Raw genomic sequence first — 27,121 nt, forward strand, 5'->3', positions numbered from 1 at the left:
TACTTTCAGTGATACTAAAAAAAAAAATTTAATTAAAAAGACAAGTCATATACTGGAATAAAATATTTGCAAATCATATGTCTGATAAGCAAATTGAATTCAGAATAGATAAATAATTCTTACAACTCAATAATAAGAATACAGATAACTCAATTAAAAAATGGGTAAAGAATTTGAAAAGACAGCAGCTGGGTGTGGTGGCTCACACCCGTAATCCTAGCACTTTGGGAGGCCAAGGCAGGAGGATCGCTTGATGCTAGGAGTTGGTGACCAGCCTGGGCAACATGGTGAAACCCTGTCTCTATAAAAAAAAAAAAAAAAAAAAAAAAAAACTTGCCAGGCGTGGTGGTGGCACATGCCTGTAGTCTCAGCTATTCAGGAGGCTGAGGTGGGAGGATTGCTTGAGCCTGGGGAGGTGGAGACTGCAGTGAGCCATGATCATGCCACTGCACTCCCAGTGAGACCCTGTCTCACAAAAATAAAAAATAAATTGAAAATGGAATTAGTGTGATTCAGCAGTCCCACTTCTGGATATATATCCAACAGAATTCAAAGCAGATCTCAAAAAGATTCGCATACCCATGTTTATCATAGCTTTATTTGCAGTAGCCAAGAGGTAGAAACAACCCACATATCCATCAATAGATAAATGGATAAAGAAATTGTGGGCTGGGTGCGGTGGCTCACACCTGTAATCCCAGCACTTTGGGAGGCCAAGGCAGGCTGGTCACCCGAGCTCAGGAGTTTGAGACCAGCCTGGCCAACATGGCAAAACCCCGTCTCTACTAAAAATACAAAAATTAGCTGGGCGTGGTAGCGTGCACCTGTAGCCCCAGCTACTCAGCAGGCTGAGGCAGGAGAATCACTTGAACCCGGGAGGTGGAGGTTGCAGTGAGCTGAGATCGCGCCACTGCCCTCCAGCCTGGCAACAGAGCGAGACTTCATCCCCCGCCTCCAAAAAAGAAGGAAGTCTTGTCTTATACTGCAATATGGTGAACATTGAGGAGGATGTAATGCTAAGTGAAATAAGAGGACAAATAGTGTATCATTCTCCTTATGTGAAGTATCCAGTGTTGCCAAAATCATAGAAACAGAAAGTGGAAAGGTGGTTGCCGGGAGCTGGGCAGAGAGGGAATACGGAATTGGTGTTTATTGAGTATAGAGTTTCAGTTTTACAAAATGAAAATGTTTTGGAGATCTGTGGCATAACAGTGTAAATATACTGGACACTGCATAAAAATGGGTAAGATGGTAAATTCAATGTTAACGTGTTTTTTTTACCACAATAAAAAATACGTTTAAAAAATGTTTAGGCCAGGTGCAGTGGCTCACAGCTACTTTGGGAGGCTAAGGTGGGCAGATCACCTGAGATCAGGAGTTTGAGACCAGCCTGGGCAACATGGTGAAACCCCATCTCTACAAAAAATACAAAAATTAACCAGGTGTGGTAGCACATGCCTGTAATCTCAGCTGCTTGGGAGGCTGAGGCACGAGAATCACTTGAACCTGGAAGGCAGAGGTTGCAGTGAGCTGAGATTGTGCCACTGCACTTCAGCCTGGGCTACAGACCCTGTATCAAAAAAAAAATTTTTTTTTAAATAAATTTTAAAACTTTTTAACGGACAAAGGATTTGAATAGGATTTCACCAAAGAAAATACATGAATGCCCATAAGCTTATGGAAAGGGACTCAACCTTCTTAGTCATTATGGAAATGCAAAGTGAAACTATAATGGGATACCAGTTCCTGCACACTGGGACAGCTGTAACTTAAAAGAGATAGATAATAACGTGTTAGTGAGGTGAGGAGAAAGTGGACCCTTCCGATATTGCTGATGGGAATGTAAAATGGTGCAGCCACTTTGGAAATAGTCTAGTAGTCCCTCAGAAATTACATGTGGGCTGGACGCAGTGGTTCACGCCTGTAATCCCAGCACTTAACGAGGCTGAGGGCGCGGATCACCTGAGGTCAAGAATTCGAGACCGACCTGGCCAACGTGACAAGACCCCATCTGTGCTAAAAATAAATACCAAAAACGTAGCCGGGCATGTTGGTGTGCACCTGTAATCCCAGCTACTCAGGAGGCTGAGGCAGGAGAATCGCTTGAACCCAGGAGGTGGAGGTTGCAGTGAGCCAAGGTCACGCCTCTGCACTCCAGCCTGGGTGACAGAGCAAGACTCCATCTCAAAAAAAAGAAAAAAAAAATTACATATGACCCAGCAATTTCATTCCTGGGTGTCTACCCAAAAGATACCATCCATATAAACACTTATATATATGTGTATAAGTGTTTCTTATACAAGAATCTTTCCTCCTTGGATCATCAAAGGCTAAATAATGCAAGTTAGAAAGCAAACATCCATGTAAACACTTAAGTGACCATAGCAGCATGTTTTATAATAGCCAACAAGTAGAAACAACCTAAATGCCCATCAGCAGAGGGTGGGATTAGCCAGAGGGCCAGTTTACTAGCCCTGCTTTAAATGATAAAGCTGTCCACGTCCTCCCAGGAGCTACCTTAAATTCAAAACACAAGAAACACAAGAAGCATGCTGATTACAATTGTAACAAAATACCAGCTTTCACCATTATGATTTAATACCGTTTTTAGAAATCCTGACTATTATAATATGAGAAAAGACAGAGACATACAAAGCCTCAATAGGCCGGGTGCTATGGCTCACACCTCTAATTCCAACACTTCGGGCGGCTGAGGTGGGAGGATCCCTTGAGCCCAGGAGGTCAAGACCAGCCTTGGCAACATGGTGAAACCTCATCTCTACAAAAAATACTAAATTAGCCAGGTGCAGTGGTGCACTTGCCTGTAGTCCCAGCTACTCTGGAGGCTGAGCAGGAAGATCACTTGAGCCCTTGCTGTTGAGGCTGCAGCAAGCCATGATCATGCCATTCCACTCCAGCCTGGGCAACAGAGCAAGATCCTGTCCCAAAAAAGCCTCAATAATTAAGAGGGATGCAAGAATAAATTATTGACCATTGGTTAGCTGAAGTCAGTGCCTAGGACAGGAAATGGAAAGAAAAACACTAGTGACATTTAGGGTTCTGTGATGGTGAGATTGTTGGTGTTTTCTTTTTACCAGTCTCCATACTTACTTCATTATGGGATTTCTTTGGAAGCTAAAAATACTGCCTGGGCATGGTGGCTCACGCCTGTAATCCCAGCACTTTGGGAGGCTGAGGCAGACAGATCACTTGAGGTCAGGAGTTTGACACCAGCCTGGCCAACATGGTGAAACCCTGTCTACTAAAAATCCAAAAAAAAAAAAAAAAAATTAGCTGGGTGTGGTGGCGAGCACCTGTAGTCCCAGCTACTCAGGAGATGGAGGCTGCAGTGAGCCAAAATGGCACTACTGCACTCCAGCCTGGGCGACAGAGTGAGACTCCATCTCAGAATATATATATAATTTTGAAACATTGGGATAGTTTCCTAAAATAATCTGAAGCATACATCTATATCTAATTCAACAAAAGATTTATAGCATTTTTTTTCTTTGAAACTTAACATATTTCTGTACCTTAATTTTTGTTTCTTTTCTTTTTTTTTTTTTTTGAGACGGAGTCTTGCTCTGTTGCCCAGGCTGGAGTGCAGTGGTGCGAACTCGGCTCACTGCAAGCTCCGCCTCCCAGGTTCACGCCATTCTCCTGCCTCAGCCTCCTGAGTAGCTGGGACTACAGGCACCAGCCATCACACCCGGCTAATTTTTTGTGTGTTTTTTAGTAGAGACGGGGTTTCACTGTGTTAGCCAGGATGGCCTCGATCTCCTGACCTCATGATCCGCCTGCCTCGGCCTCCCGAAGTGCTGGGATTACAGGCATGAGCCACCGTGCCTAGCCTGTTTTTTGTTTTTAGGGGGAGATGTGTGTGTTTATTTCTTTGAAGTAATTATGTTAACTCTTACTTTTCTTTGGCAGCTTGCTATTTCTGTTTCCTAAGCTGGCATTTCATAACTATTTACCCACAAAGGGGGAGGCCACATGGTGCTGAGAAAAAGCTCTGGGTTTGAGTTACTTGACAGCTCTCACCTTGAAAAGAGAACTTGTACCTTTTTGCCTTTTTTTTTAACTTCAACTTATATCTTTTCTTTTTTCTTTTTCTTTTTTTTTTTTTTGAGACGGAGTCTTGCTCTGTTGCCCAGGCTGGAGTGCAGTGGCGCAGTCTCGGCTCACTCCAATCTCTGCCTCCTGGGTTCAAGCGATTAGCCTGCCTCAGCCTCCCAAGTAGTTGGGATTACAGGCGTGCACCGCCACACCTGGCTAATATGTTTTGTATTTTTAGTAGAGACAGAGTTTCGCCATGTTGGCCAGGCTGATCTCGAACTTCTGACTTCAAGTGATCTGCCTGCCTCAGCATCCCAAAGTGCTGGGATTACAGGTGTGAGCCACCGCGCTCGGCCCCAGTTTTTCTCTTTTTTCGGTTATGAAATTTCCTGCTGTGCATGAAATAATTTCTAAGATCCCTTCTGTCTCCAACAAATAGTTCTGTGATCTTTATTTCTAATGAACCTTTCCTCCTTAGATCATCAAAGGCTAAATAATGGAAGTTAGAATTTCTTTTCATTTGAAAACTAAGAAATACATATTTGGTTGTATGCTACTATTATATACAATTTTTGTTCTTTTGTTTTTGGACTATTGTTGTTAATCATGTAGCTACTCACGGAATAGGATTACTCACTAGTTCAATTTTTGCCCATTACTGATCAAGACTCGCTCGCCGTGGAATCCACAGGGACATACTGGGGTTATTCAGTTATTTAAAAAATTATTTGACCAGGCGCGGTGGCTCACACCTGTAATCCCAGCACATTGGAAGGCCAAGATGGGCAGATCACCTGAGGTCAGAAGTTCGAGACCAGCCTGACCAACATGGAGAAACCCTGTCTGTACTAAAAATAACAAAAATTAGCCAAGTGTGGTGGTGCATGCCTGTAATCCCAGCTACTCGGAAGGCTGAGGCAAGAGAATTACTTGAACCCATGAGGCAGAGGTTGTGGCAAGCCAAGATCGCACCATTGTACTCCACCGTGGGCAACAAGAGTGAAACTCTGTCTCAAAAAAAAAAAAAAAAAATATATATATATATATAATTTATAAAGCCAGTTTAGCATTCAATTTATATTTTGGCACATAGGTAACTAAGATGGTGACCACCTCGTCTGTACAGGCTTCTGATTGTTACCAGGCTAAGGCAAGTATGTTTTGTTTGCCTACCATAACTAAATTACAAAAATTCAGAATGAAATGAATAATCTGGAATATTTATCACTATCAATGAAAGCCAGGTTTTTTTCTTCTGAATAGAGTTAGAATGCACATTGAAGTGATTTGCTTAATTTCAATAATCAGATTTATAATTTCTGTGAAGATATTGATCACTTAATTCTCAATGTAAAGATTAAAGATGTCATCTTATTTGTGGATAATCCATGGGGGCAATAGCAAGAAGTCCCTTTTTCACCATAAAGGAACCCAAGCGCTTGGGTAAGGTTCCCATCATGGCACTGAGCCCATGGTGGATTAGAGCAGAGGTGTAGAGTGATTTTAAGGAGACTGGATTGCTTGAGCCCAGGAGTTCGAGACCAGCCCAAGCAACATAGCAAGGCCCCATCTCAACAACAACAAAAACATAATAAAAAATAAAAAATTGGCTGTGCTTAGTGGTGCAAGCCTGTAGTTCCAGCTACTCAGGAGGCCGGGGCAGGAGGCTCCCTCGAGCCCAAGAGTTCCAGACTGCAGTCAGCTAAGATCATGCCACTGTACTCCGGCCTGGGTGACAGAGTGAGTCTCTGTCTTAAAAAAGGAGATTGGCTTAGTCACTCACAGGAAATCACTCTTGGATTTTTTTCCCCCTTTTGAGATGTTATCATTCAGTATATATGAAGTTTGCCTCCAGGAAGAGAATGCTCAGCCAAGCCAACTCAAGCATCTTGTGCCTTGAGAGTGACATCTTTCACTGTCATTGTTAGTAGGTTGCTATCCTTGTTTATATGCTGCCAGCTCTTTTGAATGAATTAGAGTGAATCTGTCTTCCCAAGTCTTGTCACCTGTGGGACCCTGATATGACTGAGACTTCAGGCCAGAGCCTGGGCAGTGTGGTATGGATTTACTGGGTAATGCATGGTGTGTCATCTCCTGATAGACCTTAACCATGTGTCTTCTGGTGACCTCCCTATGTCATTTGAAGCCCCTTCCTTTTCACCTTTGATTCTAGAAGACTGCTTTTGAAAAAATGGGCACATTTTAAAACATTTTTAGGAATTCAGATGCATCACTAAATATTTTTTTTTTAAGTGGTGCAAGTATGAAAGGAAAGGGCTCTGAGCCAGGCGCAGTGGCTCACACCTGTAATCCAAGCACTTAGGGAGGCTGGGGTGGACAGATCACTTGAGGTCAGGAGTTCAAGACCAGCCTGGCCAATGTGGTGAAATCCCATCTCTACTAAAAATACAAAAATTAGCCAGGCGTGGTGGTGCACACCTGTAATCCCAGCTACACAGGAAGCTGAGGCAGGAGAATAGCTTAAACCTGGGAGGCAGAGGTTGCAGTGAGCCGAGATCCCGCCACTGCACTCCTGAGTGGCAGAGTAAGACTCCGTCTAAAAAAAAAAAAGGGCTGTAGGCTGGCCTGGTGGCTCATGCCTGTAATCCCAGCAGTTTGGGAGGCCGAAGCGGGGCAGATCGAGACCAGCCTGGCCAACATGGCGAAACCTCATGCCTACCAAAAATACAAAAAATTAGCCAGACGTGGTGGTGGGCGCCTGTAATCCCAGCTACTCGGGAGGTTGAGGCAGGAAAATCGCTTGAACCCAGAAGGTGGAGGTTGCAGTGAGCCAAGATCGTACCATTGCATTCCAGCCTGGGCAACAGCGAGACTCCATCTAAAAAAAAAAAAAAAAAAGCCGAGCGTGATGTCATGTGCCCATAACCCCAACTACTCAGGAGGCTGAGACACGAGAATAACTTGAACCCAGGAGATGGAGATTGCAGTAAGCTGAGATCACGCCGCTGCACTCCAGCCTGGGAGACAGAGGAAGACTGTTTCAAAAAAAATTAAAGAGCTGATACCTTTTGCAGTGGGAAATTCTTAAAGTTTTAAGCCAAGTGCCTATTTTTAACTGATCATAGTGTGATGTCCACAGAGGCACAATGTATATTAGTACTTTCTTCCATATTTGGTACATAATGAATGCCTTTGGTACTCATTTTCTGAATGGTTTGCTCTAGTAGGAAAGAAAAAAAAAAAAAGCAAGAGGCAGCTTTGCCTGCACTACTGAGGCTGTACCACCAGAAAGCTTCATTCCCATGGTTCCTCTGTATGGCATCCAAGAAGTTGCAGAGTCCCTTGTGTAGTTCAGAGAGCAGGGGTGTTTCTCAGGATTTCAGAGTCATCAGCTGCTTTGAAGGTGTGCTTCCTTCACCTGTGTTTTAACGCCCTGCCCCAGGGGTGGTCCCTGTCTCCCTTGGGTACAGTGCCCTGTGGCACCTTGGGTGCTCTAGTTCCAGGTTTGCCTCGCTTCCCCTCTGAGGGTGTTCTGGAGAAGCAGTGCTTTTTAAATTGACGGGTCCCATCCTCTGCCAGTTCTAGACTTTATTTCAAGAATCACCAGTGCAACTATATATACATCTTCAGGTTGCTGTTTTTATTTTTAATAATTATTAAATACATTTTCTCAAAAAAATTAGTATAGCTACAGAAAAGTATGCTTACATTTCATATACATTAAAATGACTTTTAGACCAGGTGTGGTGGCTCACGCCTATAATCCCAGCACTTTGGGAGGCTGAGGCGGGCGGATTACTTGAGGTCAGGAGTTTGAGACAAGCCTGGCCAACATAGGGAAATCTTGTCTCTACTAAAAATACAAAAATTAGCCGAGCATGGTGGCGGGTGCCTGTAATCCCAGCTACTCAGGAGGTTGAGGCAGGAGGATGGCTCGAACCCAGGAGGTGGAGGTTGCAGTGAGCTGAGATTGTGTCACTGCACTCCAGCCTGGGTGACAGAATGAGACTCCGTCTCAAATAATAATAAAGTAAATAAAATAACTTTTGATTTGCCTTAGATAACTTGATACCAGTTTGATAAACCATTAGTCTTCATTTTAAACAGCCTGCCCTGAGTATGGTGAAGGTTTAGTCTACCGATTCTCGTTAGCGTATCTAATTCAGTGTCTTAAACAAACATCATCTCATTCTTACAGGGCTCGTGCAATCCGCTTCAGACAGGATGGTAACGAAGCCGTCGGAGGATTCTTCTCTCAGATTGGGCAGCTGTACATGGTGCACCATCTTTGGGGTATCTGTTTTTCCCTTTTCGAGTTACTGGGATTTAAGAGTTCATTACTAAGTTGTACTGGGAAGTAGAGCACATCTTGAGTCAGTAACCTTAACCACTACAGCAAATCCGACGTCACAGAGGGACAGTCTGTACGGGGCTGTCTGGAACTAGCGAGGTCAACAGTGAAAGTCCATAGATTGATGGCATTAGTGAGCTGAAAGTGAGTAGGGATGATGGGGAAAGGAATAAGGGGTAAAGCAAGCAGCCATGGAAGAAGGAGGCCAGGGAAGTCAAGAGTGCCTTCCACAGAGTGGTCCCAGCCTTTCTTTGTAGACTGACTGCTTACTTCCTCGACAGAGGCAGGCCTGCATTTTACCCAGAGCAGCAGCTTCCTGCACATACTCACTGCCTGCCTTTGTAGACGTGGTTCCACTGTCTCATGACATTGACCCCCTCACCATTTCCATCCCCACACACTTTTGTTTGGCACCATCTTTGGTATTTTTCCAGGCCTGCCCCAGATGTCACCCTTCCCCAGTAGTGAACATCATCACTCCTCCTGAGCCCCCAGAGCCTTGTGTGGTGCTGGTTATTACCGTTGCGGCTGTATATGGTGTGCAACCCTCCCAGGCATGTGAATAAGCACAGGTGCTAGAAGGGCAGGATTGGATGGAGGAAGGTTCCATCCCTTTGGCTGTTGGGCAGAGGTCAAGCCAGGTGCATGCTCCATTCACATCAGCACCTGTAGCTGCCCGGAGAGGGCCTCCCAGATGCAGGATCCTGGAATGGCAAACAGGCAGGCACCAGAGTGTGAATGGCGGAGCTCTCATAGAGGCTGTGGGGAATGCAGGACAGACCTCTTGTCTCTGCCCTGTCGGGAGGACTCAAGGCTTCACAGAGCAACAGCAAGTTGAAGATGATTGCTTGAGGCCAGGAGTTTGAGGCTGCAGTGAGCTATGACTGTGCCACTGCACTCCAGTCTGGGCAAATAGAGCAAGACCCTGTCTCAAAAAAAAATGTAATTAACAAGATATTGGCTGGGCACAGTGGTTCACGCCTATAATCCCAGCACTTTGGGAGGCCGAGGCAGGTGGATCATCTGAGGTCAGGAGTTAAGAGACCAGCCTGACCAACATGGTGAAACCTCATCTGTACTAAAAATACAGAAAATTAGGCATGGAGGCGCATGCCTGTAATCCCAGGTACACAAGATGCTGAGGCAGAAGAATCGATTGAACTCAAGAGGCGGAGGTTGCAGTGAGCCGAGATCGCACCACTGCATTCCAACTTGGGCAACAGAGCAAGACTCCGTCTCAAAAAAAAAAAAAAAAGAAAAGAAACCAAGGCATCTGGATGAGATACCTGTGAATTGTACCATGACACAGGTGATCCCCCTCCACCTGAAGCGCCTTTCTTCCTATTCCTACGTCAGTGATGTCCTTTTCAACTTCAACACCCACCTGGTCAGCTTGCACCTTTCCCACAGCTCTCCCATTGCTTGCCCTGCTCCCCTATACACTGTGTCCTTGTATGGGCCACGGCACTCTCCACAACTGACCTCGCCTGCCTCATATCCTGGGGCTTCACCGCTGGAACACGCTCCCTGCCCAGATCAGTGTAGTGCGAGATAAATGTTGAGTAAAATTGATCTGACATTGCTCATCTGTGGTCTCACAGTTTCTGGTCATGAATTTAACATGTTATTGGAGAATTTCACTTGGTTTATAAAGGTATATCTTAGATTCACTAGATTGTAAAGCTTAAGAGGGAATTGTGTCTGGATGTGGTGGCTCACGCCTCGATTCCCAGCAGTTTTGGAGGCTGAGTCGGGAGGATCACTTGAGTCCAGGTGTTTGAGACCAGCTCGGGCAACATAGTGAGACCCCATCTCAAACAAACAAACAAATAATTTTTTTAACTTAAGAATGGGCCAGGCGTGGTGGCTCACCCCTGTAATTCTAGCACTTTGGGAGACTGAGGCGTTTTGATGATTTGAGCCCAGGAGTTTGACATCTGACTGGGCACAAAAAAATACAAAAATTAGCCAATGTGGTAGCACATTCCTGTAGTCCCAGCTATTCAGCAGGCTGAGGTGGGAGGATCACTTGAGCCTAGGAGGTCAAGGCCGTGGTGAAACATCATCGTGCCATTGCGCTCCAGGCTGGTTGACAGAGTGACCTTGTCTCAGAAAAAAAAAAAAAAAAGACTGAAAGTTTGCTTTTCCCACGTGGCCTAATATAATTTTGCTCAGAATTTCCCCAGCCCAGTATATTACACACCTGAAGTAGTCCCTGAGAAAACTAGATGTCCAGGTGAAGCAAGACTTTAACGGATGTATGGGTGGAATGCAGTGTATGTGTTTTAAGTCTTACTTCTCTGTGTGGTTATTTTTAAGCTTACAGGGATCTTCAGACCAGGGAAGACATACGGAATGCAGCATGGCACAAACATGGCTGGGAGGAATTGGTATATTACACAGGTAATCTCTTAACAGCCATGAAATATGCTTTTTGTCTTACTGTTTCAATCATGTTCTTTCACCCTGACACTAATAGGTGGGTTTTGTAATAGTATGTTGCTAGGATAGTGAGTTATCAGGTTGTGGGGGGAAGGGAGATAGTCAATTTTTCTCTAATACTTACATGACTTTTTTTCAATAAAGTAGAATATCCATGCTTTCAAATAGGTATATCATCTGTTACAGTTTTCAGACCCTTGGATGTTGTAAATTTTACATCATTACCTGTTTTTGTAGATTTCTATATTCTCTGAAAACTTATTACACAAATAAAATTTTTTTCTAAGCTTTCCTTTTCCATCAGAATTGTTAGTATCCCAAATCAGAACTTAATACATCAATTAAAGAGTGATTTTGAAATTAGATAAATTAAACTTCCTGTATGTACAGTATGTATCTGGGTACATAATACATGCATGTGCACATACATAAGTATATTATGAAACCCTGTTTGCTTGATTTTTAAAAGAAAACAGTTGGCTGAATGTAACCCAGTGGCATTGGTAGAGGTAATCAGTACCAGCCATGTTGCATGGCAAGTATATTTCAGGCCGGGCGCAGTGGCTCACGCCTGTAATCCCAGCACTTTGGGAGGCTGAGGTGGGCAGATCACCTGAGGTCGGGAGTTCGAGACCAGCCTGACGAACATGATGAAACCTGTCTCCATTTGAGAGACTGAGGCAGGAGAATCGCTTGAACCTGGGAGGTGGAGATTGTGCCACTGCACTCCAGCCTGGGTGACAGAGCAAGAATCCGTCTCAAAAAAAAAAAAGTGTATCTCAGCCCCTATACTACCAAGAAAATAAAAGAGTAATTTGTCCTAGAAAGTAGGTGTTACCTTGTCTTTCAGTTCAAGAGATTATATAACATATAATTACATGTTATAATTATATAATTGTATTTGATTTTGCTGCTTACGCGAACGTTTGAGAAATCACCATTTCTCCTCACAGTATGGACTTTTCCTACCTCCCACAAATAAAACAAATATCCAGGTAGGATCTGTTTTTTTTTTTTTTTTTTTTTTTTTTGAGACGGAGTCTTGTTCTGTCGCCAGGCTGGAGTGCAGTGACGCGATCTCGGCTCACTGCAACCTCCGCCTCCCGGTTTCAAGCGATTCTCCCGCCTCAGCCTCCTGAGTAGCTGGGATTACAGGCAGGCGCCACCACACCCAGCTAAGTTTTGTATTTTTACTAGAGACAGGGTTTCACCCTGTTGGCCAGGATGGTCTCGATTTCCTGACCTCGTGATCCACCTGCCTCAGCCTCCCAAAGTGCTGGGATTACAGGTGATCTGCGCCCAGCTGATCTGTTGTAATTTTAATAGCATCTTGTAGGATGGCAGCTGATACAGGGTCCGCTTGTATATTTCTGCCCTTGAGGTTAGTCCTGTATATTATGATATTCTCTTGTTTTCAAGCAGCACATCTGTGAACATTCTCGGCAATCTGTCTGTTAGTGTCATTTACCATAATGTGTTTAGAAAGTAACAAGTGCAGTAACCCTGATCTTGTTTTCAGTTCCACTTATTCAGGAAATGGAATCCAGAATCATGATCCCACTGAAGACCTCGCCCCTCCAGTAAAGCTGTAGAGTTTCTATGTGCCTACATACATTTCTGTGACAAGTATTTGTCGTAAATTAATTTTAATTGTGTATCAAGTGAAAAAGAAACACTGAGGTTTTAAGCTGCTGTATATAGCTTGTGAGAAACCTCTTTTCTTTAAAATTTACATAATCACAAGAAAGGAAAGAATTACAGTTGGACTGATTGTGACAGTGCCTTGTCGTCCTCTTTGAAACACCCCGTGTTGTCCAGTATACCTTATAACACTGAGCCACTTCTCCCCACCCTCCAGAAGGGGTCCACGTTGAATTCTGAATCATCTTGAAAATAAGATTCCAACCACAAAAAAAATTTAGCCATTTCTTTACTAAAAAAAACCAAAAAACAAATCTGTTTTATAATCACAGATTTTTAGACAAATTTCTTGTATCAGGAAGAAATACAAATTTTGTCATGTTTCTCAAGCAGTTTTTCTGAGTAGTTTCTGAGGAGGAACAAATTACAAGTGTACCCAATAACTGAAAATGTTTTAACTCACTCTCATTTGTAAGCAGTCCACATAGTAGACAATGGGTTTTCCAAGCTGGGCAAGGTACATTTAATCAGTAAATCAGTTTCACATCATGTATTGTGATGTTTCAATGTGAGACACAAAAACAATGGCTTGAAACTTGTGTATCATATGTGATTTTGAAATGAACACCTTGAATAGCACTAATTTTTATTTGTGGTATTTTTCTATAACAAAACAAGTAGCTCTAGGAAAAGAGGTTTTATTTTGTAAACGATCATTTGTGACCTCAGACACTCTCTGGCTAATATTTTAATAAGCTCACAGCAGATAATTCTGAGATCATGGGTGAGGGGTGGTGCATGTTGAGATTTAAATTGGCATAAAGCTGCATACTTTTTGTCTAGCTGTTTGATTTCATTTTTTAATATAGTATGCCAATTTTGTGACTGTTACCATGTGAAAGTCCTGTTGAAATGAACAATTGTCTGCCCCACAATCAAGAATGTATGTGTAAAGTGTGAATAAATCTCATATCAAATGTCAAACTTTTACATGTGAATGATTTTCTCAAAGAACATAGAAAAGTCAATAAAATCCTCTTAATTTCCACATATCACGTTTGGATTTTCTTTTTTAATTTGTTCTGAGATTGACAAACATTGCTGTGAATGACCTTGTCACTCTTGCAAAATAGCTTGTCACAAAAGATTGAAGGAAGTGAGGAAGTCAGCTGGCTTCTGGGGAAAATCCCTCCATAGGAACAAATTACGAGGCCCTGGGCAAGGTCATGCCTGGTATGTGCTGAGGGCAGCAGAAGCCAGTGGCAGAAGCAGACATGAGGGAGAGTGTGGTGGGACACGAGCTCAGAGGTCACAGGGCTGGATCCCTTGAGTGTTGGAGGCCATTAGAAAGACCCTAGTGGCCGGGCCCAGTGGCTCACACCAGTAATTCCAACACTTTGGGAGGCCGAGGCCAGAGGATCCCTTGAACGCAGGAGTTTGAGACCAGCCTGGGCAACATGAATGAAACCTCATCTCTACAAAAAATCGAAAAATTAGTTGGGCATGGTAGCATGTGCCTGTAGTCCCAGCTACTCAGGAGGCTGAGGCAGGAGGATTGCTTGAGCCCAGGAGGTCGAGGCTGTAATGAGCTGTGATTGCACCACTGCACTACAGCCTGGGCAACAGAGCTAGATCCTGTCTCAAAAATAATAACAAGGCTGGGCACAGTGGCTCACACCTGTAATCCCAGCACTTTGGGAGGCCAAGGCAGGAGGATCACCTGAGGTCAGGAGTTCGAGATGAACCTGGCCAACATGGTGAAACCCTGTCTCTACTAAAAACACAGAAATTAGCTGGGCATGGGGGTGGGCACCTGTAATCCCAGCTACTTGGGAGGCTGAGGCAGGAGAATCGCTTGAACCCAGGAGGTGGAGGTTGCAGTGAGCTGAGAGCGCACCACTGCACTCCAGCCTGGGTGACAGCGAGAGCCCGTCTCAAAAAAAGTGAGACTAGAGGAGCTCACCAAGGGAGTGACTGTAGTCAGAGGAGAGGATCAAGATGAGGAGGAACCTGCAAAAGAGACTAAGAAACCACCAGGGAACTCAGCAGACACTCAAGCAAGTGAGGCGTCATGAGAGCCAAGTGAAAGTCCATCAGAGATCACCTCTGTCAAATGCTGTCAAGTGGCTGGGCCAGATGTGGTCCCCAAACTGTTCACAGTTGGGTGCAGTGGCTCACACCTGTAATCCCAGCACTCTGGGAGGCCGAGGCGGGCGGGTCACCTGAGGTCAGGAGTTCGAGAGCAGCCTGGCCAACATGGTGAAACCCCATCTCTACAAATAATACAAAAATTAGCTTGGCATGGAGGCATACGCCTGTAATCCCAGCTATTGGGGAAGCTGAGGCAAGACAATCACTTGAACTTGGGAGGCGGAGGTTGCATTCCAGCCTTGGTGACAGAGCAAGACACCATCTAGGAAAAAAAAAAAAAATTCATGAATTTAGCAACATGATGGTCACTAAGTGACCTTTGATAAGGGCATTCTATTCTTGAGCTATTTTATGAAATTATCACTTTATTTTAGCAATTCCTGCTCAGTTTGACAAGTCATTTTACTGAATTTCTATAGCACAATGAATCATTATTTTGTCCCACTATTAATTTTCTTTTTTCTTTTTTGAGACAGGGTCTGGCTCTGTCGCCAGGCTGGAGTGCAGTGGAACGATCTTGGGTCACTGCAGTCTCCACCTCCCAGGCTAAAGCCATCCTCCCACCTCAGCTTCCCGAATAGCTGGGACCACAGGTGTGCACCACCATGCTCAGATAATTTCTGTATTTTTTTGTAGAGACAGGGTTTTGTCGTGTTGCCCAGGCTGGTCTCGAACTCCTGGGCTCAAGTTACCCACCTGGGCCTTCCGAAGTGCTGGGATTACAGGTGTGAGCCACTGTCCTCAGCCACACTATTACTTTTCATTGGCAGTATTCAAAACTTCCAAACTCATTTTCAATTTATTGGTTATAAGTCTGAGGAATATTACTTATAAAAGCCAACTCATTTTTCGTTATCACACGTGAGGTTTTTAAGTCTGTTTCAAAAAGCAAGTGTGCCATATTATCAGCATCCCTACCACCTTTTTTGTTCTTTGGAGACAGTGTCACTCTGTCGCCCAGGCTAGAGTGCAGTGGTGCGACCACAGCTCACTGTAACCCTAAACTCCTGGGCTCAAGCAATCCTACCACCTCAGTCTCCCAAAGAGCTAGGACTACAGGTGTGCCACTATGCCTGGCTTTTTAAAATTATTACTGTTATTTTGTAGAGATGGCATCTCACCATATTGCCCAGGCTAGTCTCAAATTCCTCGGTTCAAGCAATCCTCCCACCTCAGCCTCCCAAAGCACTGAGACTGCAAGCGTGAGACACCGCACCCAGCCCTTACCACTTGTTAAAAGCCTTTTTAGAACCACTTTGCTCTCCTCCAAACTAGCCATTGATAGAACCGTCTTTTATTTTCACAACTGCCTGTGAAAGACCCTTTTTGCAGTTCCCCATCATAATTTTGCTTTAGTTTGGGATCTTTAGGATGGAGGGCATCCCTCCAGTGATTAGGAGACACCCAAGATGGAAATAAAGATTTTATTACTTACAGGTCCTGGGGGTAAACACCATGCCTGGAGGTCACACACATGGAGTCAGGGAGCACAGACGGGGAGAAAAAGAGACGCATGGGCCAGTGCCTTTAGTGGGGTACAGAGCATTGCTCAAACAGATTTCCCTATGAGGAGTTTTAATTAGTAGATTTAAAGCAAGCATGGTTGGGCACAGTGGTTGACACCTATAATCCCAGCTCTTCTGGAAGGCCAACTCAGGAGGATCTCTTGAGACCAGAAGTTCCAGACCAGCCTGGGCGACATAGCAAGATCCTGTCTCTACAAAAAAAAAAAAAAAAAAAAATCAAAAAATTTGCCAGTGTGGTGGTACACACCTGTGGCCCCAGCTACTCAGGAGACTAAGGTAGGAGGATCGTTTGAGCCCAGGAGGTGGAGGCTGTGTCACAATCTGTGGTTAGTGAGGCCTAGGAGAGTGCGTGCCCCCAGCCTGGCCTCTTAACCCTTGGGATGGGAGCCACATCAAAAATGTGTTAATATAGGCCAGGTGCAGTGGCTCACACCTGTAATCCCAGAACTTTGGGAGGCCAAGGAGGGCGGATCACCTGAGGTCAGGAAGTCGAGACCAGCCAGGCCAACAAAGCAAAACCCTGTCTCTACTGAAAATACAAAAATTAGGTGTGGTGACATGCACCTGTAACCCTAGCCACTTGGGATTCTGAGGCAAGAGAATCGCTTGAACCTGGGAGGCAGAGGTTGCAGTTAGCCGAGATCATGCCACTACACTCCAGCCTGGGGGACAGAGTGCGATTTCATCTCAAAAAAAAAAAAGAGGAAGATTTTTAACTCAATGTCCCTAGGCAGTAGCCTCCCTCTGGGACAGCCCATACCACAAGATAATCAGTTACTTTCTCGCCCTTTTAGTGTTCTGTAAGTAAAATCTTTAGAATGGCTTGTATTTCTAGGTGACTAAAACAATATATATATATTTTTTTTCTTCTTTTTCTTTGGACGTTTACCTGACAAGCTTCCGCTGATATCAAGTAGTTGTTTTGTTTTGTTTTTGAGACAGTCTTGCTTTGTCACTCAGGCTGGAGTGCAATGGCGTGACCTCAGCTCACTGCAGCCTCGACCTCCTAGGCTCAAGTGACCCTCCCACCTCAGCCTCTTGAGTAGCTGCGACTACAGTGCATGCACCATGCCTGGCTAATTTTTAAATTTTCTGTAGACACAGGGTTTCATTATGTTGCCCAAGCTGGTCTCCAACTCCTGGGCTCAAGCAATCCTCCTGCCTGGGCCTCCCAAAGTGTTGAGATTACAGGCATTAGCCACTGCGCTTGGCTGCCCATTGCTTTAATGTAGGGCCTTTAAGATGGACAGCACCCCTCCAGTGATTAGGAGAGGCCCAAGATGGAAATAGTTTATCACTTGGCCAGGCACAGTGGCTGATGCCTGTCCCAGCATTTTGGGAGGCCGAGGCAGGAGAATCTCTTGAGTACAGGAGTTGGAGACCAGCCTGGGCAATTTCTGTAGACCCTGTGTCTACAAAAAATTTAAAAATTAGCCAGGTGTGATGGTACCTGTGTGATGGTACCCAGCTACCTGTGAGGCTGAGGCAAGAGGATCACTTGAGCCTGGAATGTCAAGGCTGCAGTGGGCTGTGTTCGTGTCACTGTACATCAGCCTGGGTGACAAAGTGAGAGCCTGTCAAAAAACCAAACCAAACAAACAGTTTATCACTTAAAGATCCTAGGGATACACAACACTCCTGGAGGTCATACACAGGAGGTCAGAAAGAGACTTGGGGGCCAGTGCCTTTAGTGGGGTCCTGGGTGTCACCCAAGCAGGTTTCACGTGGGGATTTTAACTGGTGGGTTTAACGCAAGCAAGTGGCCGGGTGAGGTGACTCACGCCGGCAATCCCAGCACTTTGGGAGGCTGAGGCAGATGGATCACCTGAGGTCAGGAGTTTGAAACCAGCCTGGCCAGCATGGTGAAACCCCTGTCTCCACTAAAAATACAAAAATTAGCTGGGCGTGGTGGTGGGCGCCTGTAGTCCCAGCTTACTTGGGAGGCTGAGGTAGGAGGATCACTTGAGCCTGGGAGATCAAGGCTGCAGTAAGCTGAGATTGCACCACTGCACCCCAGCCTGGGCAACAGAGACACACCCTGTCTCAAAAAACAAACAAAAAATAAAGCAAGCAGTCACGAGTTCCAGGAGGTCTTGCAGTGACTGAATGGTGGTCACTGCAGCATATCTGCACAGTCCGTGTCGGTGTGAGGGTCAGTGGGGCCTGCTGAACAGGCTGCATGTAACTGTCCCACGGGAAGGTGGCCACCAGGGGGCAGTTGTGTAAGGCAGACTTCTGGATCCACCACATTGAGGGACTGTGGGGGTCAGGGAGTAGAACTGGAAACAGTGTCAAGAGTGACTGAGTTGGCCCGGTGCTGTGGCGGCTCACGCCTGTAATCCCAGCACTTTGGGAGGCTGAGGCAGGCGGATCACCTGAGATCAGGAGTTCGAGACCAGCCCAGCCAATATAGTGAAACCCCATCTCTACTAAAAATACAAAAATTAGCCGGCATGGTGGTACATGCCTGTAATCCCAGCTACTCGGGAGGCTGAGGCAGGAGAATTGCTTGAACCTGGGAGGAGGAGGTTGCAGTGAGCCGAGATCACAGCACTGCACTCCAGCCTGGGCAACAGAGCGACACCTTGTCTCAAAAAAAAGAATGACTGAGCCCTGCTTCTGGTAGTAGAAAGTCCAACTTAAATTTCAAAAGGTTGCTGATGCAATATAAAGTTATAAGAATTCACTACAAATTTTTATTTTTTTTTTATTTTTTGAGACAGGGTGTCACTCTGTCACCCAGGCTGGAGTGCAGTGGCAGGATCTTGGCTCACTGCAACCTCCACCTCCCGGGTTCAAGCAATTCTCCTGCCTCAGCCTCCCAAGTAGCTGGGATTACAGGTGTGCGCCAAGCACAGCTAATTTTTGTATTTTTAGTAGAGATGGGGTTTCACCATGTTGGGCAGGCTGGTCTTGAACTCCAGGCCTCATTTGATCTGCTTGCCTTGGCCTCCCAAAGTGCTGGGATTATAGACTTGAGCCCACCATCATGGCCTACAAATGTATTTCTTTTTCTTTTTTTTTTTTTTTTGAGGTGAAGTCTCGCTCTGTTGCCCAGGCTGGAGTGAAGTGGCGTGATCTCAGCTCACCACAACTTCCGCCTCCCAGGTTCAAGCGATTCTCCTGCCTCAGCCTCCGGAGTAGCTGGGACTGGAGGAGTGCACCACCACGTCTGGCTAATTTTTGTATTTTTAGTAGAAACGAGGTTTCACTATGTTGGCCAGGCTGGTCTCGCACTCCTGACTTCGTGATCTGCCCACCTCGGCCTCCCAAAGTGCTGGGGTTACAGGCATGAGCCACCGCACCCTGCTCTATAAATGTATTTCTTATTAAATTTATACTTTCAGTTTATTTCTGGGGCATCATAGATGGTCAATAATAAGATGAATCAACAAAAAGAAAGGAGGGAAGAAGTAAAAGGAGAGAGGGAGAGAGAAGAGAATGAAGGAGAAGAAAAAGTATAGAGACTGTCAGTTTTGGGGTTTTTTGTTTTTCTGTGGAGACGGGGTCTCACTCTGTCGCCCAGGCTGGAGTGCAGTGGTGTAATTATGGCTCACTGCAGCCTCATCCTCCTGGGCTCAAGCCATCCTCCTGCCTCAGCCTCCTGAGTAGCTGGGACGGCAGGCATGAGCCACAACATCTGTCTACTTTTTGTGTTTTTTGTAGAGATGAGTCTTGCTACATTGTAAAGCTGATCTTGAGTTCCTGAGCCTAACATAATGAGACCCCCATCTCTACAAAAAAATTTAAAAAATAGATGAAAACCACTTGAAGTTTTTGCAAAACAGGCCTTCCATCTCAGGGAGTAAAATTTCTCCATTGTATTCATATGTCAGCACTTGTGACCACAGTGTTAAGTATTCACTTGGGGTGGATAATCCTGGCCTGCTAAATTGTTAACTCTCTAGGAATGCTTACAAGATAAAGAATGGTGTGGAAATCATTGCCTCGGGTTCCAGCTCTGAATGTAATCTCACAGCTGTCATGAACTCTGGTAGGGTATTTCCCAGCTGTTAAAGAGGACAGCAGGGCCGGGCGCGGTGGCTCACACCTGTAATCCCAGCACTTTGGGAGGCTGAGGTGGGTGGATCTCTTGAGGCCAAGAGTTTGAGACCAGCCTGGGCAACATAGCAAAACCCAGTCTCTACAAAAAATACAAAAATTAGCTAGGCATGGTGCCTGTAATCCCAGCTATTTGGGAGGCTGAGGCAAGAGAATCACTTGAACCTGGGAGGCAGAGGTCGCAGAGCTCAGATCGTACCACTGTACTCCAGCCCCTAGTGACAGAGCGAGACACCATCTCAAAAAAAAAAAAAAAAAAAAAAAGGACAGCAGTTTCTATACTGCTGACCTTAGGACTGTGAGAATCACATGAGGAGACATGAAAACACCTTGCAAAATGTGAAAATAAGCACTGTGACTCATGGTTAGCTTTTCTGAAGCTGCTCATAAAGATTCTGAGGGTCGTAGGGTCAAAAGCCATCAGGTTCATGTTACCGCTTCCTGAGGCCAATCTCTGAAATCTGCCGCTCTCTTGTGGCCTTGCCCTTGGGAGCAGCAGCCCCAGTGGGCCTCCCTGGGTACCATGGAGACAGACACACTTGTCTCCAGTAGAAGAGAGAGAAATGGAAGAATCATTAAACCAGCAGTTAGGCCTGCATGCAGTGGCTCACACTTACAATCCCAACACTTTTGGAGGCTGAGAACAGAGGATCGTTTGAGGCCAGGAGTTCAAGACCAGCCTGGACAACACAGCAAGACCCCCATCTCCACAAAAAATTTAAATATTAGCCAGGTGTGGTGGTGTGCACCTGTGGTCCCAGTTAGGAGGTCAAAGCAGGAGGTCCGCTTGAGCCCAGGAGTTCCAGGCTGCAATGAGCTATAATCTTACCACTGTACTCCTGCCTGACCGACAGAGTGAGACCCTGTCTCAACAAAAAAATAAAAATAAAAAATAAGCAGCAGTTAAACCAGGAGAGAATGGAGTGGGTGGGGGCATAAAGTCATTTTTTTAAAGCATATAAAAGCTTTAAAGGACTTTTATTGTTTCAACTTAATACCCTGAAAAATTTCTGCTCTTGGCTTCATGATCCCAATTCTTAGCTCTTTCTGTTTACGTAAGCGGTGTTCATAATCAGAATGAACAATGGCGTCACACGGACAATCAGCCATGCCTTTCTGAGTCCATCCTAGTGTAGGCATGTGCGTAACTCCTGGGAGAGCTGTTCCGTAGCTGTTTCCAGTGAGTCCAGAATTCAAAACGTATGAAAGGCAGTTCTTGTATCATTTCAAACTCACTCCTCTAACACAACAAAGCAGGGATTGTCTGAGACGGCAGCTTTTGGGCAGTTTGCTGAGAGCTGGGCAGCCTGTGGGACCAGCCCCTCTTATAAAGGGTCCCATGTGGCCATCAGTATTTCTCGGAGGATCAGATCCCTCTGAGCCAAATTCATGTCCACCTTATGTTCAGGCCACAGCCCCATGGATGGGCTCTGAAACCACCTTTGCATGCTTGTGAAAGATGGACCAGCAAAGAAAAATGAGAACCCAGGAGGCGGAGGTTGCAGTGAGCCGAGATCGTGCCACTGCACTTCAGCCTGGATGACAGAGCGAGACTGTGTCTCAAAAAACAACAACAACAAAAAAAACAAAACCCCCAGACACACACACACAAATGAAACCACATTTGCAAAAACTCTAACAAGTGAGATGTAATTTAACCACCCCCCAATCTTGCCTTTAGCCTTCAAACTGCCCTTAATCATAGCTGGGCTTGGACCAAGCAAAACTGGGAGACATTTAGTTTATAGCTTAAATGATAATAGCTTGGCCGGGTGTGGTGTCTCACACTTGTAATCCCAGCACTTTGGGAGGCCGAGGCGGGAGGATCACGAGGTCAGGAGTTCGAGACCAGCTTGACCAACATGGTGAAACTCCGTCTCTACTAAAAATACAGAAAAAAATTAGCTGGGCGTGGTGGCACATGCCTGTAATCCCAGCTACTCAGGAGGCTGTGGCAGGAGAATCACTTGAACCCAGGAGGCGGAGGTTGCAGTGAGGCAAGATTGCGCCACTCCACTCCACCCTGGGTGACAGAGTGAGACTCGTCTCAAAAAAAAAAAGAAAAAAAAGATAACAGCCCTTCCCCAAAACTCAACCACCTTAATAAAGCTAATGAGAGACCACCAGGCAAGGAGGATGAGAGAAGCCTAAATTCTGCCAAGGTGTACACATCAACACCATTTCCAGTTATTATTCCAGAGGGCAGGCACAAGATTTGCAATTCCCCGTTACTCCTGCGGGTTACATCACCACTGTAGAACCTAAGATTGGCCTTTTGAGATGTCTTTTCAGATTTTCGCATTTCTTTTTTTCTTTTTTTTTGAGACAGTTTCACTCTGTCGCCCAGGCTGGAGTGCAGTGGTGTGATCTCTCCGCTCACTGCAGCCTCTGCCCCCTGGAGTTTTTCAAGTGATTCTCCTGCCTCAGCCACCCAAGTACCTGGGATAACAGGTGTGCTCCACCACGCCCCACTAATTTTTGTATTTTTAGTAGAGATGGAGTTTCACCGTGTTGGCCAGGCTGGTCTTCAACTCCTGATCTCAAGTGATCTGCTCGCCTCGGCCTCCCAAAGTGCTGGGATTACAGGCGTGAGCCACCGTGCCTGGCCCAGGTTTTTGCATTTCTGACCATCAGTAGCTCCACCTGGATCCGATGACCTCCCCACCCCTGCCGCCCCACCACCTCACCCCACCCCACCCCATGGCCCCAGCCAGAAGCGAATCCCCTGGCCTGCCAAAGTATCCTTGAAAAAGTCTAGCCTCCGAATTTTTGGGGTGATTGATGTAAGAATAAAGCTCCGGCCTCCTGTTCGGCTGGTTCTGCATGAATTAATCTCTGTCTCTATTGCAATTCCCCTGTATTGAGAAATGGGCTCTCTCTGGGCCGCAGGCAAGAAGAACCCGTGTGGCAATAGCAGCTGTGACGGTCAGACAGTGAAAACCAGTGGGGGATTGGTCCTCCCACCTGTCCACCCATGGCCTGCTCCTGCCATGCACACCAGGCGGTGCAGAGGCTGATGCCGTTTGCAGCACTTTTCAAGGTCCTGGCATGCCTGGTCCTGCCCAGAGCTTGGCACTACTGAAAAGTGCAAACACCACAAAACAGTTTCTAGGAGAGCGGCCAGGAGGTATTCACAGTTGGGAACAACGGCCTCATTGTTTGGAATCTCATTTAAATGGTGCCAAACTTATTTCATGTCTCTCCTTCAGAAACTGATTTGGAGGAAATTTGATTCATCTGATTTGCTTATGTGGCTGAATAATTATTTAATTATTTGGCCAAATTTGGTTAAATGATACATTTTTCAACTAATTCTCAATGTTAACCCCGTAGCTTTCCCTCCCCCCATTTTTCCTCCAGGGAGGGTATAGCATCTCACACATTCAAAGCATGTTCTGAAATTTCCCTTGCTTGGCTCTGCTCAAAACAAACATAAACCTGGCTTTCGAGTATTTCCAAGTCATTTATAAAAAAGAAATGGTTTATATAGGCTGTTAGGAGTTATTAATATTTAATTCATTTAGGGGAAAATGCTGGCCTTTGTGATTAGTAAAACTTGTTTTTATTTCTTTTACTTTATGTGATTTTCGAATATCTTTTTTTTTTTTTTTTTTTTAAGAGACGGGGTCTCACTGTCACCCAGGCTGGAGTACAATGGCAGAGTCACAGCTCACTGCAGCCTTGAACTACTGAGTTCAAGGGATCCTCCCATCTCAGCCCACCAAGTAGCTGGGACTACAGGTGCGTGCCGCCACATCCAGCTAATGTTTTTATTTTTTGTAGAGACAGGGTCTTGCTCTGTTGTCCAGGCTGGTCTCGAATTCCTGTCCTCAAGTGATCCTCTTAACTTGTCCTCCCACAGTGCTGAGATTACAGGCCTGAGCCCAAATATCCATTTTTAATCAGTACTTTTGTTTAAGACTCTATTGTTATATTGGAGGAAAACAAAAAACAAAAAACTTTTGTAACATTTCATATATGACAAATCCCAAGAAGTAAAAAAAAGGACTTTCCAGGTCCCAGGGCTTCAGGAAGTGGGAGTGGGCTCATGGGGTGAGGACATTGTACCCAGCACTAAGCAAAGTAGAGTCTTAAGCCTGTTTCTTGCCTGGGGGCTATTTATGCTTCAACACGGTACCTGAAATATTGGGTATTCCAATATGCAAGAGGCAGAACTGAAAATTCCACAAATCCGTTCTGACATACGGATAAACTTTTATTGACATACCAAAGAGAAACCAATATTCACTGAAGGCTGCCGAATCCGTATTTCTAAGAGTAAAGGTGTTTAATTGACTCTCCACACTTAAAGCACTTTGTATGAAATATAGCTACAAATATACATAAAGAATTCAGATCACAAAACTCTCTAGGACATTGGCTGGGCGCGGTGGCCCAAGCCTGTAATCCCAGCACTTTGGGAGGCTGAGGCAGGCGGATCACAAGGTCAGGAGATCAAGACCATCCTGGCTAACACGGTCAAACCCCGTCTCTACTAAAAATACAAAAAATTAGCCGGATGTGGTGGCGGGTGCCTGTAGTCCCAGCTACTCGGGAGGCTGAGGCAGGAGAATGGCGTGAACCTGGGAGGCAGAGCTTGCAGTGAGCCGAGACCGCGCCACTGCACTCCAGCCTGGGCAACAGAGCAAGATTCTGTCTCAAAAAAAAAAAAAACCTCTCCAGGAAATCAATAGTCATCATATAATACTGGAACTACAGTTAAAAAAAAAAAAAAAGCAATCTTCTAGGATTCCTAACTGTAGTTTAAAGTACAGATCATTTGTACCAACTTTCTATAGCAAGTTGTAATAGGCAACTGTAAGCAAACAGTATCAATCTGTATAACTTGTAAAAATTCATCTGAAGTTGTTTGGAGCTGTACGACAATGGATGTTATTCTTCCAGTTCTCCCAGCAGCTCTACAAAATCAGTGATATACCATTTGGCGTTATCCTTGACTTGTTGCCTGATCACATTTCCTCCAAATCCAATGAAAGCATCCTAAGAAGGAAGAAAAGAGAGAGAAATGATTTTTATTTTTATTTATTTATTTATTTTTTGGAGTCTCGCTCTGTCACCCAGGCTGGAGTGCAGTGACACAATCTCCACTCACTGCAACCTCTGCCTCCTGGGTTCAAGTGATTCTCATGCCTCAGCCTCCTGAGTAGCTGTGACTCCAGGTATGCCCCACCTCGCCTGGCTACTTTTTTTTATTTTTTGTAGGGTCTTGCTATGTTGCCAGGCTGCTCTCAACCTCCTCCTGCGTCAGCTTCCAAAGTGCTGGGATTACAGGTATGCTCCACTGCACCCATCTAATTTTGTCATTCCTTTTTTGTTTCTTGAGACAGAGTCTCACCCTGTCACCCAGGCTGGAGTGCAGTGGCACCGTCATGGCTCACTGCAGCCTTGAACTTCTGGGCTCAAGTGATCATCCTGCCTCAGCCTCCTGAGTAGCCGGGATGACAGGTGCACACCACAATCCCTGAATAAATTTTTAGAGACAGAGTTTTGCCACGTTGCTCAGCTGGTCTTGAACCTCTGTGCTTAAGCAATCCTCCCGCCTCAGCCTCCCAAAGTGCTGGGATCACAGGCGTGAGCCACCGCTCCTGGCTGATTTTGTCATTTCTTGAAAATGAGATTGGGAGCTCCCTGAGAAATCTCTTCATTTTACTTTTATGCATTCCTCATTAAACTAGTAGCCCAATGTTCACTACTTAGACAACCCCAACATTGGTTATAAATTATCTAAGCTAACAGTAAAAAGACTCAAAGGCGGCTGGGTGTGGTAGCTCATGCCTGTAATCCAGCACTTTGGGAGGCTGAGGTGGGTGGATCACCTGAGGTCAGGAGTTTGACACTAGCCTCGCCAACATGGTGAAACCCTGTCTCTAATTTTTTTGTATTTTTGTAGAGACGGGGTTTCACCGTGTTGCCCAGGCCGGTCTCAAACTCCTGGCCTCAGGTGATCCACCTGCCTCAGCCTCCCAAAGTGCTGGGATTACAGGCGTGAGCCACTGCGCCTGGCCACACTATATTTTTGGTGTAGTTTTTCTTACGTTAGAATGACATGGCAAAGGCAAAGCCCTATGTGAAATGGACACATTTGATATTTATGACACTTGCTATATAGCATTTGATTATATATATACACACATATACTATATATGTATATATATACACACATATATGTATATGTGTATGTATATATTTATATACACACATATATATACATATGTGTGTATATATTTATATACACACACATATATATACGTATATGTGTATGTGTATACACACACACACACACACACACACACACACACACACATATATATAGCATTGATTTTAAAATGCTTAGAAATAAAATCCCTGGCCGGGCATGTTGGCTCACACCTGTAATCCCAGCACTCTGGCAGGCCAAGGCAGGAAGATCACTTAAGCCAGGAGTTCAAGATTAGCCTGGGCAACATAGTGAGACCTCATCTCTACAAAACATAAACAAAATTAGATAGGTGTGGTGGCATGCGCCTGCAGTCCCAGCTACTCAGGAGGCTGAGATGGGAAGATCGCTTGGTCTGGGACGTTGAGGCTGCAATGAGCTGAGATTGCACCACTGCACTCCGGCCTAGGTGACAGAGCAAGAACCTGTCTCAAAAAATAAAACCTCTGCTAGTCTCAGAAAATGACATTAATTCAGAGGAATAAAATGCTGTTGTGGTGTGGGATGCAGTGGCACACACCTGTAATCCCAGCTACCAAGGAGGCTGAGGCGGGAGGATCATTTGAGCCCAGAAGTTCAGGGCTGTGATAAGCTATGATCGCAACACTGCACTCCAGCCTGGGCAACATAGCAAGACCCTGTCTCCAAAAAATAAAAATAAATAAATAAATAAAAACAAAATGCTCTGATATGTTACAGGTAAATCATATAATC

The 27,121-nt window shown here is 45.2% G+C and overlaps 2 protein-coding genes across 37 annotated transcripts in view, besides 2 other annotated features; one reads left to right on the forward strand and one right to left on the reverse strand.

Annotated features, from left to right (window-relative positions):
- Positions 1 to 13,501, forward strand: part of NIPSNAP2 (nipsnap homolog 2) — a 35,595-nt gene extending 22,094 nt beyond the window's left edge. For both annotated transcript variants that reach the window (NM_001483.3, NM_001202469.2), the window contains 3 exons: positions 8,216 to 8,310; positions 10,688 to 10,771; positions 12,330 to 13,501. In NM_001483.3, the coding sequence (NP_001474.1) occupies positions 8,216 to 8,310; positions 10,688 to 10,771; positions 12,330 to 12,394 (244 nt within the window). In that variant the 3' untranslated portion in view covers positions 12,395 to 13,501. The remainder of the gene's footprint in view (positions 1 to 8,215; positions 8,311 to 10,687; positions 10,772 to 12,329) is intronic.
- Positions 5,845 to 6,045: a silencer, noted in NCBI's record as "peak6528 fragment used in MPRA reporter construct". NCBI's record gives its function as "represses an SCP1 promoter by STARR-seq MPRAs in K562 erythroleukemia cells {active_cell/tissue: K562}" and the evidence as "EXISTENCE:reporter gene assay evidence [ECO:0000049][PMID:32103011]".
- Positions 18,414 to 18,513: an enhancer, noted in NCBI's record as "active region_26045". NCBI's record gives its function as "activates an Ori minimal core promoter by ATAC-STARR-seq in GM12878 lymphoblastoid cells {active_cell/tissue: GM12878}" and the evidence as "EXISTENCE:reporter gene assay evidence [ECO:0000049][PMID:35858748]".
- PSPH (phosphoserine phosphatase) overlaps positions 24,386 to 27,121 on the reverse strand; it is a 40,381-nt gene continuing 37,645 nt past the window's right edge. For all 35 annotated transcript variants that reach the window (NM_001370513.1, NM_001370514.1, NM_001370509.1 and 32 more), the window contains one exon: positions 24,386 to 25,191. In NM_001370513.1, coding sequence (NP_001357442.1) covers positions 25,084 to 25,191 — 108 coding nt within the window. In that variant the 3' untranslated portion in view covers positions 24,386 to 25,083. The remainder of the gene's footprint in view (positions 25,192 to 27,121) is intronic.

The sequence above is a fragment of the Homo sapiens genome, chromosome 7 (genome assembly GCF_000001405.40).
Source record: "Homo sapiens chromosome 7, GRCh38.p14 Primary Assembly".
Taxonomy (NCBI): domain Eukaryota; kingdom Metazoa; phylum Chordata; class Mammalia; order Primates; family Hominidae; genus Homo; species Homo sapiens.